The following is a 13,851-nucleotide window of genomic DNA, read 5'->3' on the forward strand; positions in this document are numbered from 1 at the left end:
GTAGCTAAGTCTTTGTAAAGTATGAAAAAGTTGCATTGGACATACTCAAATATATGTAGTCGAGATCCATTTGTTGATTGCTCTAATACATTGTGGAATCCCCCAGCATGAGTTGATCCTTGAATGAGAACCGTTAAGAAGCCCACAATCATGACAACCATCTGAAATGCATCTGTCCACACCACTGCTTTTAATCCTCCCTGAAATAGAGAGAATGTTTGAGTCCTTGAAAACAAACCCTGTAACTGTACTGGCTCTGCAAAGCCTCTCTGCTAATGCATGCATGCATTCTTTTGTTTATTCAGCATCAGCCACTGAGGATCTTTTATGTGCCAAGTACCATGTTAAGCATGAGAACAAAATGGAAAGTGAAAGAGACATACCCCTTCCTTAACTTTATAAAGTTTATAATCTAATGGGAGAAGCAGATGTTAGACAACAAGATAGTGATTTACTTAAAAATGTGGAAAGTGCAATTAAGAAAGACAGGTTACTATAGGAGCATAAAACAGGGAGCCCTGACCTGGTCTTGAGGAAATGATGTTCAAGCTAATTTCTGAAGAATGAGTAGGAATTTACCAACTACAGAGGACAAACAGAAGCGGGAACCAGCATGTGTGAAGAAGCACAACTCCCTGAGGGAATACAAGAAAGCTGGAAGATGTTGGTCAAAGGTGTGAAACACCCAAAGAGGAATTTGCTCTGTGGGTGAACTTGCTAGAGGCCTGACCACACAGACTTTGATAAGGACACTTAAATGTTTTCTCAAGAGCAATAAGGAAGCATTAGCAAGAGTTATATGATGAGAGATTTTGTTTCACAGCAGTTTCATTGGTGATTGTGTGGAGAATCAACTGCAGGAAAAGAAAAGGAGTTGAGAGACCATCTCATTTTATTTCAGCAGTCCATGCCCAATATGATTGACAGATAGAGGTAAGGTAGAGATGAAAAGAAGTGGATGGACTGTTTTGGAGGTAAAATCAACATAACTTAGGATTCATTGAATACAGGTGGTAAAGAAGTAAGGGAATGAAAACTAACAAATAGGATCTGGCTTGCACAACTAGAAACACTCTTTGCAAAATTAGTGACAGGGAATATATTTTGGGAAACTGAGATGGTAGAATATCAAACAAAGAACTAGGAAGGAATAGTATATTCCAGACATTCATAGAGGAATGAGTTTGAAGAGCTACAGAATGGTCAAATGGTGAGGTAAGTGGAACAGAGTTCCAGGAGGATGAATCTAATAGTAAAATTTAGGATACAATGATTAGGCAAGAGGTTAGAGCAGTGGTTATGAAACCCAGCTCCCCTTTAGAGTCACTTGAGGAATGTAAAAGGAAAAATAAATAATTAAATAACATTTAAGCCCTATCCCCAAGGGTTGTGAATTAATTAAGGTCTGGATTGGGGCCTGGTCCTCAGCATCTTTTGAAAGCTCCCCAGTTGACTCTAGTGTAGAATTACAGTTGGGAACATTTGGGCAAGAAGAAGGAAGGAAAAAGAGAGGCTGTTGTAGTATTACAGGTATAGAAGCCCTTAGGATGATGATCTATGTGGGATGAGCAAGTGGGGAAAGATGAAATGAAGTGATATATCAATAAGTGCTTGGGAAATGAATGAGCCCTATGAAAATGAAATGACGTGGTATTTTTAACATTGAAAAACAGAATTATCATCTCTGGTTACTCCTCCAGAGTGTCAAGAACTTTAGTGAAAAGATGACAGGCTTCATCTTCATCTTGAGATGAAAGAAGACATTGGGGTTGCCCCATCACTTCTTTTTTAATTAAAATTGAAATTCAATTTTAAAAATAGACATTAAAATACCTGCCAAAGGCACTGTATTTATATATTTTGTTCACACATGGTTTGAGGTATAATAAATTTCTTACCTGTTACCTCCTAGGTAGCACTAGCTTAATTTTCTTAAATCCATTAAGCCTTCAAAACCCAAATCTCAATGTAAGATTTTAGTGCTATGAAGACAAAATGTCAAAGGCCTCTGTTTTCAGAGGATACTTGGCATTGGTTGTGCAGAAATCTGCATAAACTTGGCATAAGGCAAGAGAACAAACCACTTTATCAGATATTAATCAAAAGGCAGATTATAGCCACCATGAAGACCTGTCTGACTCCTTCATACAGCGAGTCCTCACCTCTTTTCTCTGTCATACACACACACACACACACACACACACACACACACACACACACACACACACACACTTACCTTCTTTAATACTGAGGGTACCTTGTGTGTCACCCACATATTTAATCAAACTGCCTTGTTTGGGGTCTAATGTTTGCCCTACTAAACTACGGAACCCTGGATGGCAACAAACACTTTCTCTTTTCTCTTTCACTGGTTATTTTAAATATTTTATACATCCACAGGCTTAGCAGAGTAAAGAGACGGCAATATGAGCAAAGGTGAAGCCTCTAATTTGACGAGAGAGAAGAACAGAGGTGTGGTACAGAGATTATATGGGTAGATTGGATTCATAGAATGAAAGATTTTTACACCAGGCTAAGGAGCTTATAATTTATCTTGTGAACAATAGGAAGTAACAAGAGAATTAGATCAGTAAAGTTGCATGAAGAAATGAATATTTTAAGAAGATTAATCTGACAGAGGTATGCAGGGTGTGGGAGCAAGAAGAGGCTGGAAGCACAAAACCAGTTAGAAGGTAGTTTATTTTAGTTTATTGTGATTATAAAAATATCTGGATGTTTCTGATGTCATGTTTTTTGGTTTCTATTTGTCCTACTTTTGCTATGCTTGTTTTTCTCTTTTCTTCTTTTGCTTTGATGAATTGAGGGTTGCTTTTTCAAACTCCATTTTTCTTAACTTTGACTATTTTATTTAAATGGGTCCCCTTGAAATTTTGCCATGCATTTTAAATGTAGAGTAAATATTTAAGCAATGCCATAATCCTCAGAAATTCAAGGATGATAAAACATTTAAGTCTGAGTACTCTCTTCCTGATTTACATTCTATTTTTATACAGTTTGGGGGTAATTCTTTTTTCTAAATTTCAAAATGGCATATAATTATAATTATAATTATTGATATATTTTGTATTTTAAATTGTACAATAATATAAAACATTTAATAATATATAAATTATAAAATAATGGTTATCATTTCATACCAAAAATAGTTTAACTAGACTCATTAAATGTTTACTATTTTATTTTCTTATCAATTTTTCTGTTTAAAACTGTCATATTTTAATGTTTTCCCTTTTTCCCACAGTATCTCCTCTAGATTTTTCTTTAGGGAAGATCTGTAAGTGCTAAATTCTCTTTGGTTCTTGACATTCAACTCCTGAAAGATAGTTTTATCAAAAACACAATTATGACTGGGTCTGGAATACTTTTTCCTCAATGCTTTGAATGTGTTATCCCACTGTTTCTGGTTTCCATTGTTGTTGCTAAGTGTCCCTCTTTAAGTATCTCTTTCTCCTTCCTCTGGCTCTTTTTCAGGTCCTCCATTTGTATTTGCTGTTCTACAGTTTCACTAATGTATCCAGGTATAAACGTATTCTTTTTCTTTCTGCTTTAAGGTTACACTTTCTAAATCTATATATACTTATATTTTATCATATCTGAAAAATTAGAATCCATAATTTTTTGAAACACTACCTCACCTCCATTCTATTTATACTCTCCTCTGAGACTTCAACTGGACATGAATTAGACCTTCTTATTTTGTCCACCATATGTCTCCATTTCTATTTCACTTTTTTCATCTTCTTGTCTCTCTGTTATTCTTTAGGTTATTTCTTTGGATAGAGTTTCCATCATACTCATTGTCTCTTCAAATACATTTGCTCTTTATCATAATCATTATATTGTGTGGTCAGTCATTCCTGATGCTTACTCATCTTTGAAATTACATTCTTTATTTATTTCAGTTGTTTATGCATATCTATTCTCTTATTCAGTATCTTTTAATACCAAAATATTTTGTTCTTGAGAGGCTAAATCTTGTTTGTTGCTTTGCTGATCCTCACTCACAGTAAATTGCTATTTTGTATTTTTTATGATATTTTGTTAAAGTTATTGTTAGATCTTTATCTGTGTGTAAATATCTTATAGTCTTCAGTTGGATTATTCCTCCAGAGAGGATTTGCACTTTTTCCTTGCAAAATCTGAAGTGCATCACTGGAGTAAAACCATGCCAGCTCCCCCCAAGGATTCTAGCTTAATGTTATAGTCCCAAGCTCAGTTTCCCTACATTTTCACTGACCCAAATTTCAATACCTTAATAGTAGTAGTACTGTTATCACCACCTGCCTTCAAGTCAGCCTCATGCATCCTTCCTACTCACAACACTCCTTCCAAATATCAGCCCTGATAATTAATATATTTTAAATTGTTTTATATTATTTTGTTACTTTGTTTTTGGGGGAGAACACTTACTTAGGGAGCTATGATACCTTTTTCAAGGCAAGCAATGCATTAGAAATTGTTATATCCAGCATCTAGCTGATCTTCTCTGGACAGGTACCTCAGAGCAACTAATCTATTATATGAGGTCAGAGGTAAGAGGAGCAAGAGTCTATTCTTTTAGCATAGGTGGGAAGAGTTGAGTGTCTGGAATAGAATCATGGTAATGAGAATGTAATTTTTTAAAATGAAGACAAAACTAAGTGCAAAGAAATAATGGGATTTGCAAGTATGAAAAAGATCAGGCTATTTTAAAATTGTATATAATTGGAATAGATGTTACAAAGACTAGGTGATATGCACATAACACCAAAATACATGAATCATCTGCTATATGAAAATATATTAATTTTTTATTTTTATCTATAGTGAAGGAAAGATAATTCAACTGTCTGGGAACCACTACCATATGCTTAACTGGTTAATTATAGGTTGTACATGGTACAATGACTCAGAAGAATAAAGATTATAGTTGCAGGGAATGGGCAAACAATAGGTGCTCAATGAATGTTTAACTAAACTATATATAATTGTATTAATTACATAAACATGCTGTCAATACAACTCAGGCTCCTTAATTAAAAACAGAGCATGTGTAAAGCCAAGTGGTAAATGTAATCCAGGCTTACCCAGAAATACAAGACAAAAACAAGCTGTGAAATCCTCAAGTTTATAAAATAGCAGCCATCACTGCTCACTTGTATGTACATTTTGTTATTTCTCAACCAGTAGACAGTGAAGCATAAAGTGTAAAGTATAAGTGCCATCTGTGGTTTATGAGGGCCATGAATGAATAAACTATTTTTCTCAGAAGTAGCATAGGGCCACCTATTCTCTAATCAAGAAGACTTTTTCATTAGATTTTTTTCTTATTAGGCATGATTTTCTTGAATGAGTGCAGAGATTAAATTCTCCTAAAGGTTGGTAATGAAAAGAATGTTAAACAACAGCACCTTCCTCAGGAAACTGTGACAGATAAGCCGACATACTTCTGCTTAATTTTGGAATAACGAATTCTGCTATAATTAGATGCCTATTGCTGGAGATTTGCCCTTATCCCATATTAGGAGGTAGTGTTAAATACTTCTTCACAGCTAGATACATACCAGGGTACAGTAGAATGTGCAAACAATTCCTGTTGCAAACACAGAGCCCCAGAGATCAAACCCAGTCACTAGGAAAGAAGAAAAAAATATTAAAAGAAGTTTCCTTCAAAAAATTAAAAGAGCAAGTTTTATGAGGAAAAAGACACAATATTTTTATCAGTGTTCTTTGTAGGCAAAAATAAAATCAAATTAGAGTTTTCCCTCATTAAATTTTCTCACCTTCGAGAAAGATTATTTTTATTATATTTTTATACTTCTATCTAGTCCATACATTTCATGTAATGTTAAGTCAAATTGTTCCTCCTAAGATTTTGTAGCTTCCAATCTTTGATCCAAATGTTTTGTTTTTGAGTTTCTGTTTTTCTCAACAAAGTTAGTCTGAGTACTCTGAAATCACCTAAACATGAGCCATGAGCAGGGATATAAAAGGAAATAATGGCCTTAGAGGTTCCACTAGGAAGACTCTTGGGCAGAAAGTCAGTAGACTTGAATTTTTATTCAAACAACCCACTTCTCTTCTCTGACCATCATGAGAAACATGAACAAAAATTGAGTTTTAATAGATCTTTGACTTTTTTTCTAGGAAAACAATCCTTTTATTGAATGTACCTAGCATATACAGGTATACACCTGCCATGGTGGTTTGCTACACCCATCAACCCATCATCCACATTAGGTATTTCTCCTAAGGCTATCCCTCCCCTAGCCCCCTACCCACCCACAGGCCTCCAGTGTGTGCTGTTCCCCTCCCTGTGTCCATGTGTTCTCTTTGTTCAACTGTCACTTATGAGTGAGAACATGTGGTGTTTGGTTTTCTTTCCTTGTGATAGTTTGCTGAGAATGATGGTTTCCAGCTTCATCCATGTCCCTACAAAGGACATGAACTCATCATTTTTATGGCTGCATAGTATCCATGGTGTATATGTGCCACATTTTCTTTATCCAGTCTATCATTGATGGGCATTTGGGTTGGTTCCAAGTCTTTGCTATTGTGAATACTGCTGCAATAAACATATGTGTGCATGTGTCTTTATAACAGAATGATTATAATCCTTTGGGTGCATACCCAGTAATGGGATGCTGGGTTCTAGATCCTTGAGGAATCGCCACACTGTCTTCCATAATGGTTGAACTAATTTACACTCTCACCAACAGTGTAAAAGCATTCCTATTTCTCCACATCCTCTCCAGCATCTGTTGTTTCCTACCTTTTTAATGACCGCCATTCTAATTGGCATGAGATGGTATCTCATTGTGGTTTTGATTTGCATTTCTCTAATTACCAGTGATCTTTGACTTCTAACAATCCATGCTTTTTTATTCCTGTTGCTTCTAAGATTATATATCATAAAATCAGATTACAAGTCCAAAGCACAAAACTCAGAGGAATATCAAGATAAAAAGGACTTTCTTGGCAGCTCTTATCTAAACCTCACTGACTCTGAGGTTAATATTTCTCAGTATAAGCACATAGCTGAATTAAATGCAATATTGAGGACTTTCAATACGGCAGGTGTCATTGTGAAGTTTACTTTGACTTTTTTTCTTTCCTTTTTGTTTTTAGGATTCTATTATTTTGAAATAATAGACTATAAATTTTAGTGTAACTATTACAAGCAACTTTTATACTGAGATTATCTACTTCATGAGATTACTGAAGTCCCTGTATTATAGATGACCATACTTAGCAACATATACAATACCGAAACTGCCATAATTCCAATGATTTAAAAATAAAAACCAAATCCCAAACAAACAAAAGCAATCAAAATTGGTATCTAGAAGTATATGAGTCAAAACCAAGTAACTAATTGTTTGCATTATTTTCAATGTTTAATCAATATTTAGAGCTTTATGTAATGACTTCTAATAGTAATTCAGAATCCTCTAACCAGAAGAATATCTCCCCAACAAAGTATTTTATTTCTAATTCTGCAAGGTGAGAATTCAGGCATAAAAATGGTAAAATATGCCAAGAGAATGCTGATAACTCACCTTGATTGAGTGCCAGGGCAGGAGCATACACCACCACTCCTGTGTAGAGAATCTGGTAGAGAAACAAGAATCAGATTGGCAGTGAGAAAGGGACATAGAAAGGAAAACTGCCTAGAAAGTTCTTTATCGACGTTAGACTTGTATTCTCTTCAACTTGTTCATGAAACATTGCATTCCTGTTGACTCTAATTTTGAAGTTGCTCACCACTATCAGTAGTCTGTAGAGGGGATGTAATCATTAGATGGAGGAAGAGAGTTGGATTTTCAAAATTGCTACTAATTTTGAGATATTATGGTTATATTTTGTATATCTCTAAGGGATACAAAAATAGACTTAATTAAGTTTTGATTCATCTTCCTTCTATCCATTTTCCTGATGCACGCGTCACAGTGAACTCTCTACCGACTTCATGAGGAGCTTTACTAAGCAACAGAAGCATATTTTAGCAGTTTGCTGAAATATGGAATTTAGAGGTGAGATAGAAAGAATCTGTGAGGAGAAAGTACTGTGCTGGGAAGACTAACAACATGGTTGATCTCCATAATGAATATGTCTTCTAATTCCCAGAAGTGCAACCACTACCCTGCTGGAAATAGGTCCAGTTTCTCCAGTCTCTATTCGGAATTTCACCATGTAGAGATTCATGTTAGGGTTTTAAAAGGCAAATATCTATGGGCAGGTAAAGGAGCATTGTTTTCCTCCATTTGCTTGCCTAAATTCTTCAGTCAGTGTGTGGGAGTTTTGATTAAGAAGAGGGAAGAAGCTTATCTTCTAGGAGAAAGTACTTGGTGAGTAGTAGGAAGTCTATCAATGCCGTGCCATGGGCAAATTTGGAGCAGCATGAAGACATCCCAAAGCTGGGGGGGTGGGAAAGGAGTTCATAAGAAAGAGAGGGAAGTAGGAGTATTAGCTGGGAATATTGTCTTAAAATGACTTTCTGCAAAATAGGTATTTCTGCTTCAACTCAGTTAATGGTTAAAGCAAACAAGTAAAAAAACAAAAACAAAAACAAAAACAAAAAAAGCAAAACCTAGTTATCAGACCATTTCATATCTAATCTAGAGCAACTTATGCAGGTTAAACAGCAGTGAAATACGTGTTAAGAAAATGTGGGTGGCTTATACACACACACAAACGGCTTTTTTTCCCTTTGTGGCTTGCAATATACATTTGTTTGTTATTTTTAGTACATATTAAAAGTGCTATCTTTGGAAGAAAGTAGCGTCTTCTTAGTATTAAGTGTCCTTTAGCTGAGTTTATTGCCCCCAAAATAAACAAACCTATATCTAGTAACCTCACAGTTTCCACATCTGCAGCAGCCATGACCACTTACCGTCTGTACAATGTAGATGACCGTGGCAGCATAGCGAACTGGTTTGTTGAATCGTAGTTGTAAGTACTAAAGGAAACAGAAAGACATGCAGAGTCAGTGAGGTTTAGATAAGAACTGCTAAGAAAGTCCTTTTTATCTTGGTATATCCTCTGTTGTGCTCTGGACTTGTAATCTGATTTTATGATATGTATCCTTAGAAGCAACAGGAATAAAAAAGCATGGATTGTTAAAAGTCAAAGATCTATTAAAAATCAATTTCTGTTCGTGTTTCTCATGATGATCAGAGAAGAGAAGTGGGTTGTTTCAATAAAAATTCAACTCTATTGACTTTCTGCCCAAAAGTCTTCCTAGTGGACTCACTGAAGCCATTGTTTCCTTTTATATCTTTGCTGCTCCAAATTTAGTTCGATCCTTTATTTTCTCTTTTCTGGATTGCTGTTGTGGCACCCCAATTGATCTCCCTAATACCATCTGTGCCCACTCATCCTATCAACCACATATCTCCCATATCAATTCTTTGAAAGCAGAGCTCTGATCATGCTGCTCTTTTTCTCAAATTCTTCAACAATTCTCTATCATTGACAAACAAAGTGCAGATCCCAAGCTTGATATTCCAAACCTTCCATTGTCGGATCCACGCCCTCCCTTTCTTATGTCACTAACCTTCACATAATTTATTCTCCACATACAATTATTGTTTATCATTCAGCTAACACATTTTGTGCTTTTTCAGACCTTTCCTTCATTTAGGCAGAACTCTCAATATAAGAGCCCCTCTCCCCAAATTTCACAAAGTCTTAGTCATCTGTCAATAGATGGAAGGAAAAGTAAATACATTCTTTCAGATATAGAATTATGCAGTTGAAATAGTCTTTCTTCTTTCACAGATGAGAAATTCAAGACTTAGATCATTGATGAAAGCATCAGCCCAATTGCTATTCCTGGCTCTGCTCATATTTCATCCTCTGAGCTCATATGGCACTAATATTAAGACTTTTTCATGGTTATCAGTTGCTATCTTATATTTTGGTGTTGAATTTGATTATCTCTCTGTATTAGTTTGTTATTAATACTGTATAAATTAATTGCCACCAATTTGTTGTCTTTAAACAACAGAAATTTATTACCTCTCAGTACTGAAAACCAAAAGTTAAAAATCAATTTCACTGGGTCAAAATCAAAGTGTGAGCAGGAGGCTCCTACACGAGGCTTTAAGGAAAAGTCAGCTTCCTGCCTTCCTGCTGTTAGTGGCTGCTGGCAGTCCTTAGCTTCTGGTTCCATCACTCCAATTTCTGCCTTTACAGTTACATTGCCTTTTCTTTTGCCTGTCAAATTTCCCACTACCTCCCTCATATAAGGATATATGTGATTGATTGCATTTATATAGAGCCTCTCTGGATAATCCAAGACAATTTTCTCACCTCAAAATCCTTTAATCACATTTGCAGTAATCCCTTTCAAAACGAACAAAAAAAAACATGTAAAGTAACATTTACAGCTCTCAGGGATTACACCTGGATATATACTGGGGAAGGTATGCTGTTTTCAGCCTACCATATTTACTATTCCTAATATACAAGTACTGTTCTATTTTATTCATTTTTATCTTTATCATTTACACATTCATTCATTCAACAAATGTTTGTTACCTGCTTTACATATTGCATTCTGACACAAAATGATAAGCAAATATGATATAGTCCATACCATAGAGGATCTTACAGATTAGACGAAGTGACCATTAACAAATATTTATACTAATGGAAGTAAAGTTGCAATTGTGATATGTACTACAAGAGCTAAAAGTAGCTGTGAACTTCCTAAATAGTAGAATCTCATTTACTGTTTTGGAGATTAGGAAAAGTTTTTCTCAGTAAGTATTCTAGAAGACATTAATATATGTCTTTCAGTATATAATAAACATGTATTGAATAAACACCATAAAATTTTAAAGTATCAATTGGCTTGAGGATTAAATTTCTTGCTAGTAGTTTCTACTTGATAGTAGTTCTTTCTTTTCTGAATTAAAAAAATCATTTTGATTAAATCAAGGATTGACAATCAATTTATCCTTTCCCTAGAAACATTAGATAAATGTTTCATGGCTTACAATTGGCCCTTCTTTGAAGCAAAGGACATCTCTTGGCAGAACTGTGACTCCATTTTATACTAACTCACATTCTCAATTTATCCTGCCAGATTCTCCCAAACCTGAGGTAGAAAACCACCTTATTTTCAGGTCCTCTCTTCAGATGATATATTCTGTGAGCCAGAATGTATAGTCCGGTGAATATGTGAATGAGGGCATCAGACATAAGGAAAATATTACAGAGGAAGGGAAGTCAGTGAGGAGTCAGCAGTCACAAATATCATAAGGTAGAAAACACTGAAATGTCTGTGGTGAAGACACCTTGGGTTCACATCTTGTGCCCTTGGGAAGACTATTTTCTGCCACTAAGCCATGATTTTCTCTTCTGAAAGTGGATGTTGTATGGATCAGATGGTGGGAAGTATGATAATGCCAGGTACAGAGCTAGGGCTATAGTAGGATTTAATGACTGCTGTGGTCTCTGAGGGTGCAACACCCATAGTTTATTGGCATTCCCTGTTCCAGTACATGTTGATGGCATCTAAATGTGCCTGAGATTATCTGCTTGAGAGTGTTCTGAGCCTTTGCACAGGGCCATAGGGCAGATCAGAAGGCTTGAGGGTGTTATCATTGGCACTCAGCCAATTACTAAATGGGGTTGGAACAAAATACCCTGGCTTTTTGCCTTTCAGTGAGGACAACCCTGAGACGCACTTTATATTGTCTCTTAGAGATCCCCAGTTGGATTGAACCCCAGTTGTTCACAGTGGTAACCTGCTCAAAATTACATTTTTAATTGGCATCTTTTTCTTCTGTTTCACGTTGCCACTTGTCTATCACTGCTTACTAGAATCACTTCCCCCAAATCAACTTGCATTCAAATCCTTGTTTCAGGATCTGCTTCTAGTAGAATGCAACTTAAGACAGAGACATTTCTAGTAAATATATTGCAAGTACAAATTTTGAAAATGCTTCTGTAATGAGGTGTGTTCTCTTTCTGAGAGGAACTCTTTTCTATCACATGAAGAACTCAGGTTAGCCTACAGGAGGATGAGACTAAAGGTAACAAGGACAAGCTGTCTCATTTGCATTCCCCTAGGCCAGCAAGCTGCTAGCCAACTAGCTACCTTATGGAAGTCACATAGATGGTCCCAAGTGAGACCAGCACAATTTTATGGGGCCCATCTGAGCCAGGCAAAATTGTTAATCTGCAGAATTGTGAAAAACTAAAATTGTTATTTTGAGACATTTATTTTGGAGTAGTATGCTACATAGCAATAGATAATCATGAATACAAAGATTGGCACTAGAAGTGGGGAGGTGTAACAAAAACCAAAAATATGTAGCATTAGCTTTGGTACTGGGTGGCACAAGGAAGTCTGGAAAACATAAGGGGCAACGAATCCTGAAAACCAGTAAAGCCACGAGGCTATTGCTATAGGGATCTTGAAAAAAATCAATGGTTTTCGCATTTCAGTTAAGTTCCACTCAACCCAGTAAAATTACAAAGACAGTACTAGGGAAAAGCTATATGAATAAAGACCTGATCAGAAATCAGCCTCCTTGAATTCCAGTTTGAGATTTGCTGGCATCTCACTCTGTGATCTGTGCTTCAGGATTCTCATCTGTGAAAGAAGAAAGACTACTGCAACTGCATAATTCTATATCTGAAAGAATTTATCCACTTTTCCTTTCAATGTATTCACTCATTCATTCAGTGGTCACCTTTGGTGTATATATAAGCTATTCCTATTGTCAAAAGTAAAAATACAACAGAGAAGTTGCATGCTTCATGCCTGCTTGTAAAAATACCTGAGGTGACATTTACCAACATTATGATGGATTATTTTCAGAACCCCAAACTTGATCCAGCCATACTCTTTTCCATCTCAGGAAATACCAACTCTACTTTTCAGGTTGGTTCGAGCCCAAATAACATAGAGCCAGCCTTTACTCCTCTCTCTCCCTCCCCACATCCAATTCATAAAAGAAATCTGGGTGCTTGCCCCCCACTTTCAAAACATATTTACTTGCATTCATCCTCTCTTACAACCCTATTACTATCATCTCTTGCTCAGATTATGTAAGGAAACTCCCAATTACCTCCCCGCTTCAGCAGTAAAAGCCCTAAAATTATTCTTAATATCTAGCTAGAGTAATCCTCTTAACATACAAATCCCATCATGTCACTTCCCTTCCCAAACACTGTAATGACCCATCATTTCTAGAGTAAAAGCTAATCCCTATGATGACCTAAAAGGCCCCATAACGTTGGTTCAGACCCTAAATATCTCTTTTACAACAAATATTATATAGCACCGTTCACTCTGCTGAAATAGTATTCAATAATATCTTATAGATAAACATTGAATTTCTCAAAATATAAATATAATTACTAACAATACCACCACTGTTATTTGAAGGAGAACTAAAAGGAAAGCATTTACCTAAAAAAAGTATGTAATGTATAAATGCTCAGAAACCACTGTACAAGAAAACACAGTGAAATAGTAGCCCGGGCATTATCATAAAGAAAATTTGAAATTGAAGAGAAGTAAGTAGTTCAGAAGCCAAGAAGTCCAAGAAATATGAGAGAACAGGTAGACATTGGCCTATAAGCCAATATTAAATTAGGTAAATAATAGCAAACTAGATTTATGAGTGTATGATAAGAGAAGGAAGGAAATAACTTTAAAGTGAAGATAATATTATGAGACTAATAACAAACTGTACAATTGAGATAATGAAAATATATGATATTGCAAACTAGCTAAGCCTAAATTATCACTTGAGGGTGAGAAGAATTCCCTATACATTGACTTGTGACAGGGTAGTGATAAAGTAGCACAGATGGCATATCTTAGTCTTG

General features: G+C 35.7%; 1 protein-coding gene across 7 annotated transcripts in view; it reads right to left on the reverse strand.

Annotated features, from left to right (window-relative positions):
- The window catches only part of SLC5A12 (solute carrier family 5 member 12), a 56,370-nt gene that overhangs the window by 36,728 nt on the left and 5,791 nt on the right, over window positions 1-13,851 (reverse strand). For 6 of the 7 annotated variants that reach the window (XM_006718155.4, XM_017017244.2, NM_178498.4 and 3 more), the window contains 4 exons: window positions 8,894-8,959; window positions 7,560-7,611; window positions 5,565-5,632; window positions 46-200 (listed from right to left, as the gene is read on the reverse strand). In XM_006718155.4, coding sequence (XP_006718218.1) covers window positions 46-200; window positions 5,565-5,632; window positions 7,560-7,611; window positions 8,894-8,959 — 341 coding nt within the window. Of the gene's footprint in view, window positions 1-45; window positions 201-5,564; window positions 5,633-7,559; window positions 7,612-8,893; window positions 8,960-12,525; window positions 12,608-13,851 lie in introns of all 7 variants that reach the window. The other variant, XM_011519920.3, reaches the window with a different exon arrangement.

The sequence above is a fragment of the Homo sapiens genome, chromosome 11 (genome assembly GCF_000001405.40).
Source record: "Homo sapiens chromosome 11, GRCh38.p14 Primary Assembly".
NCBI lineage: Eukaryota > Metazoa > Chordata > Mammalia > Primates > Hominidae > Homo > Homo sapiens.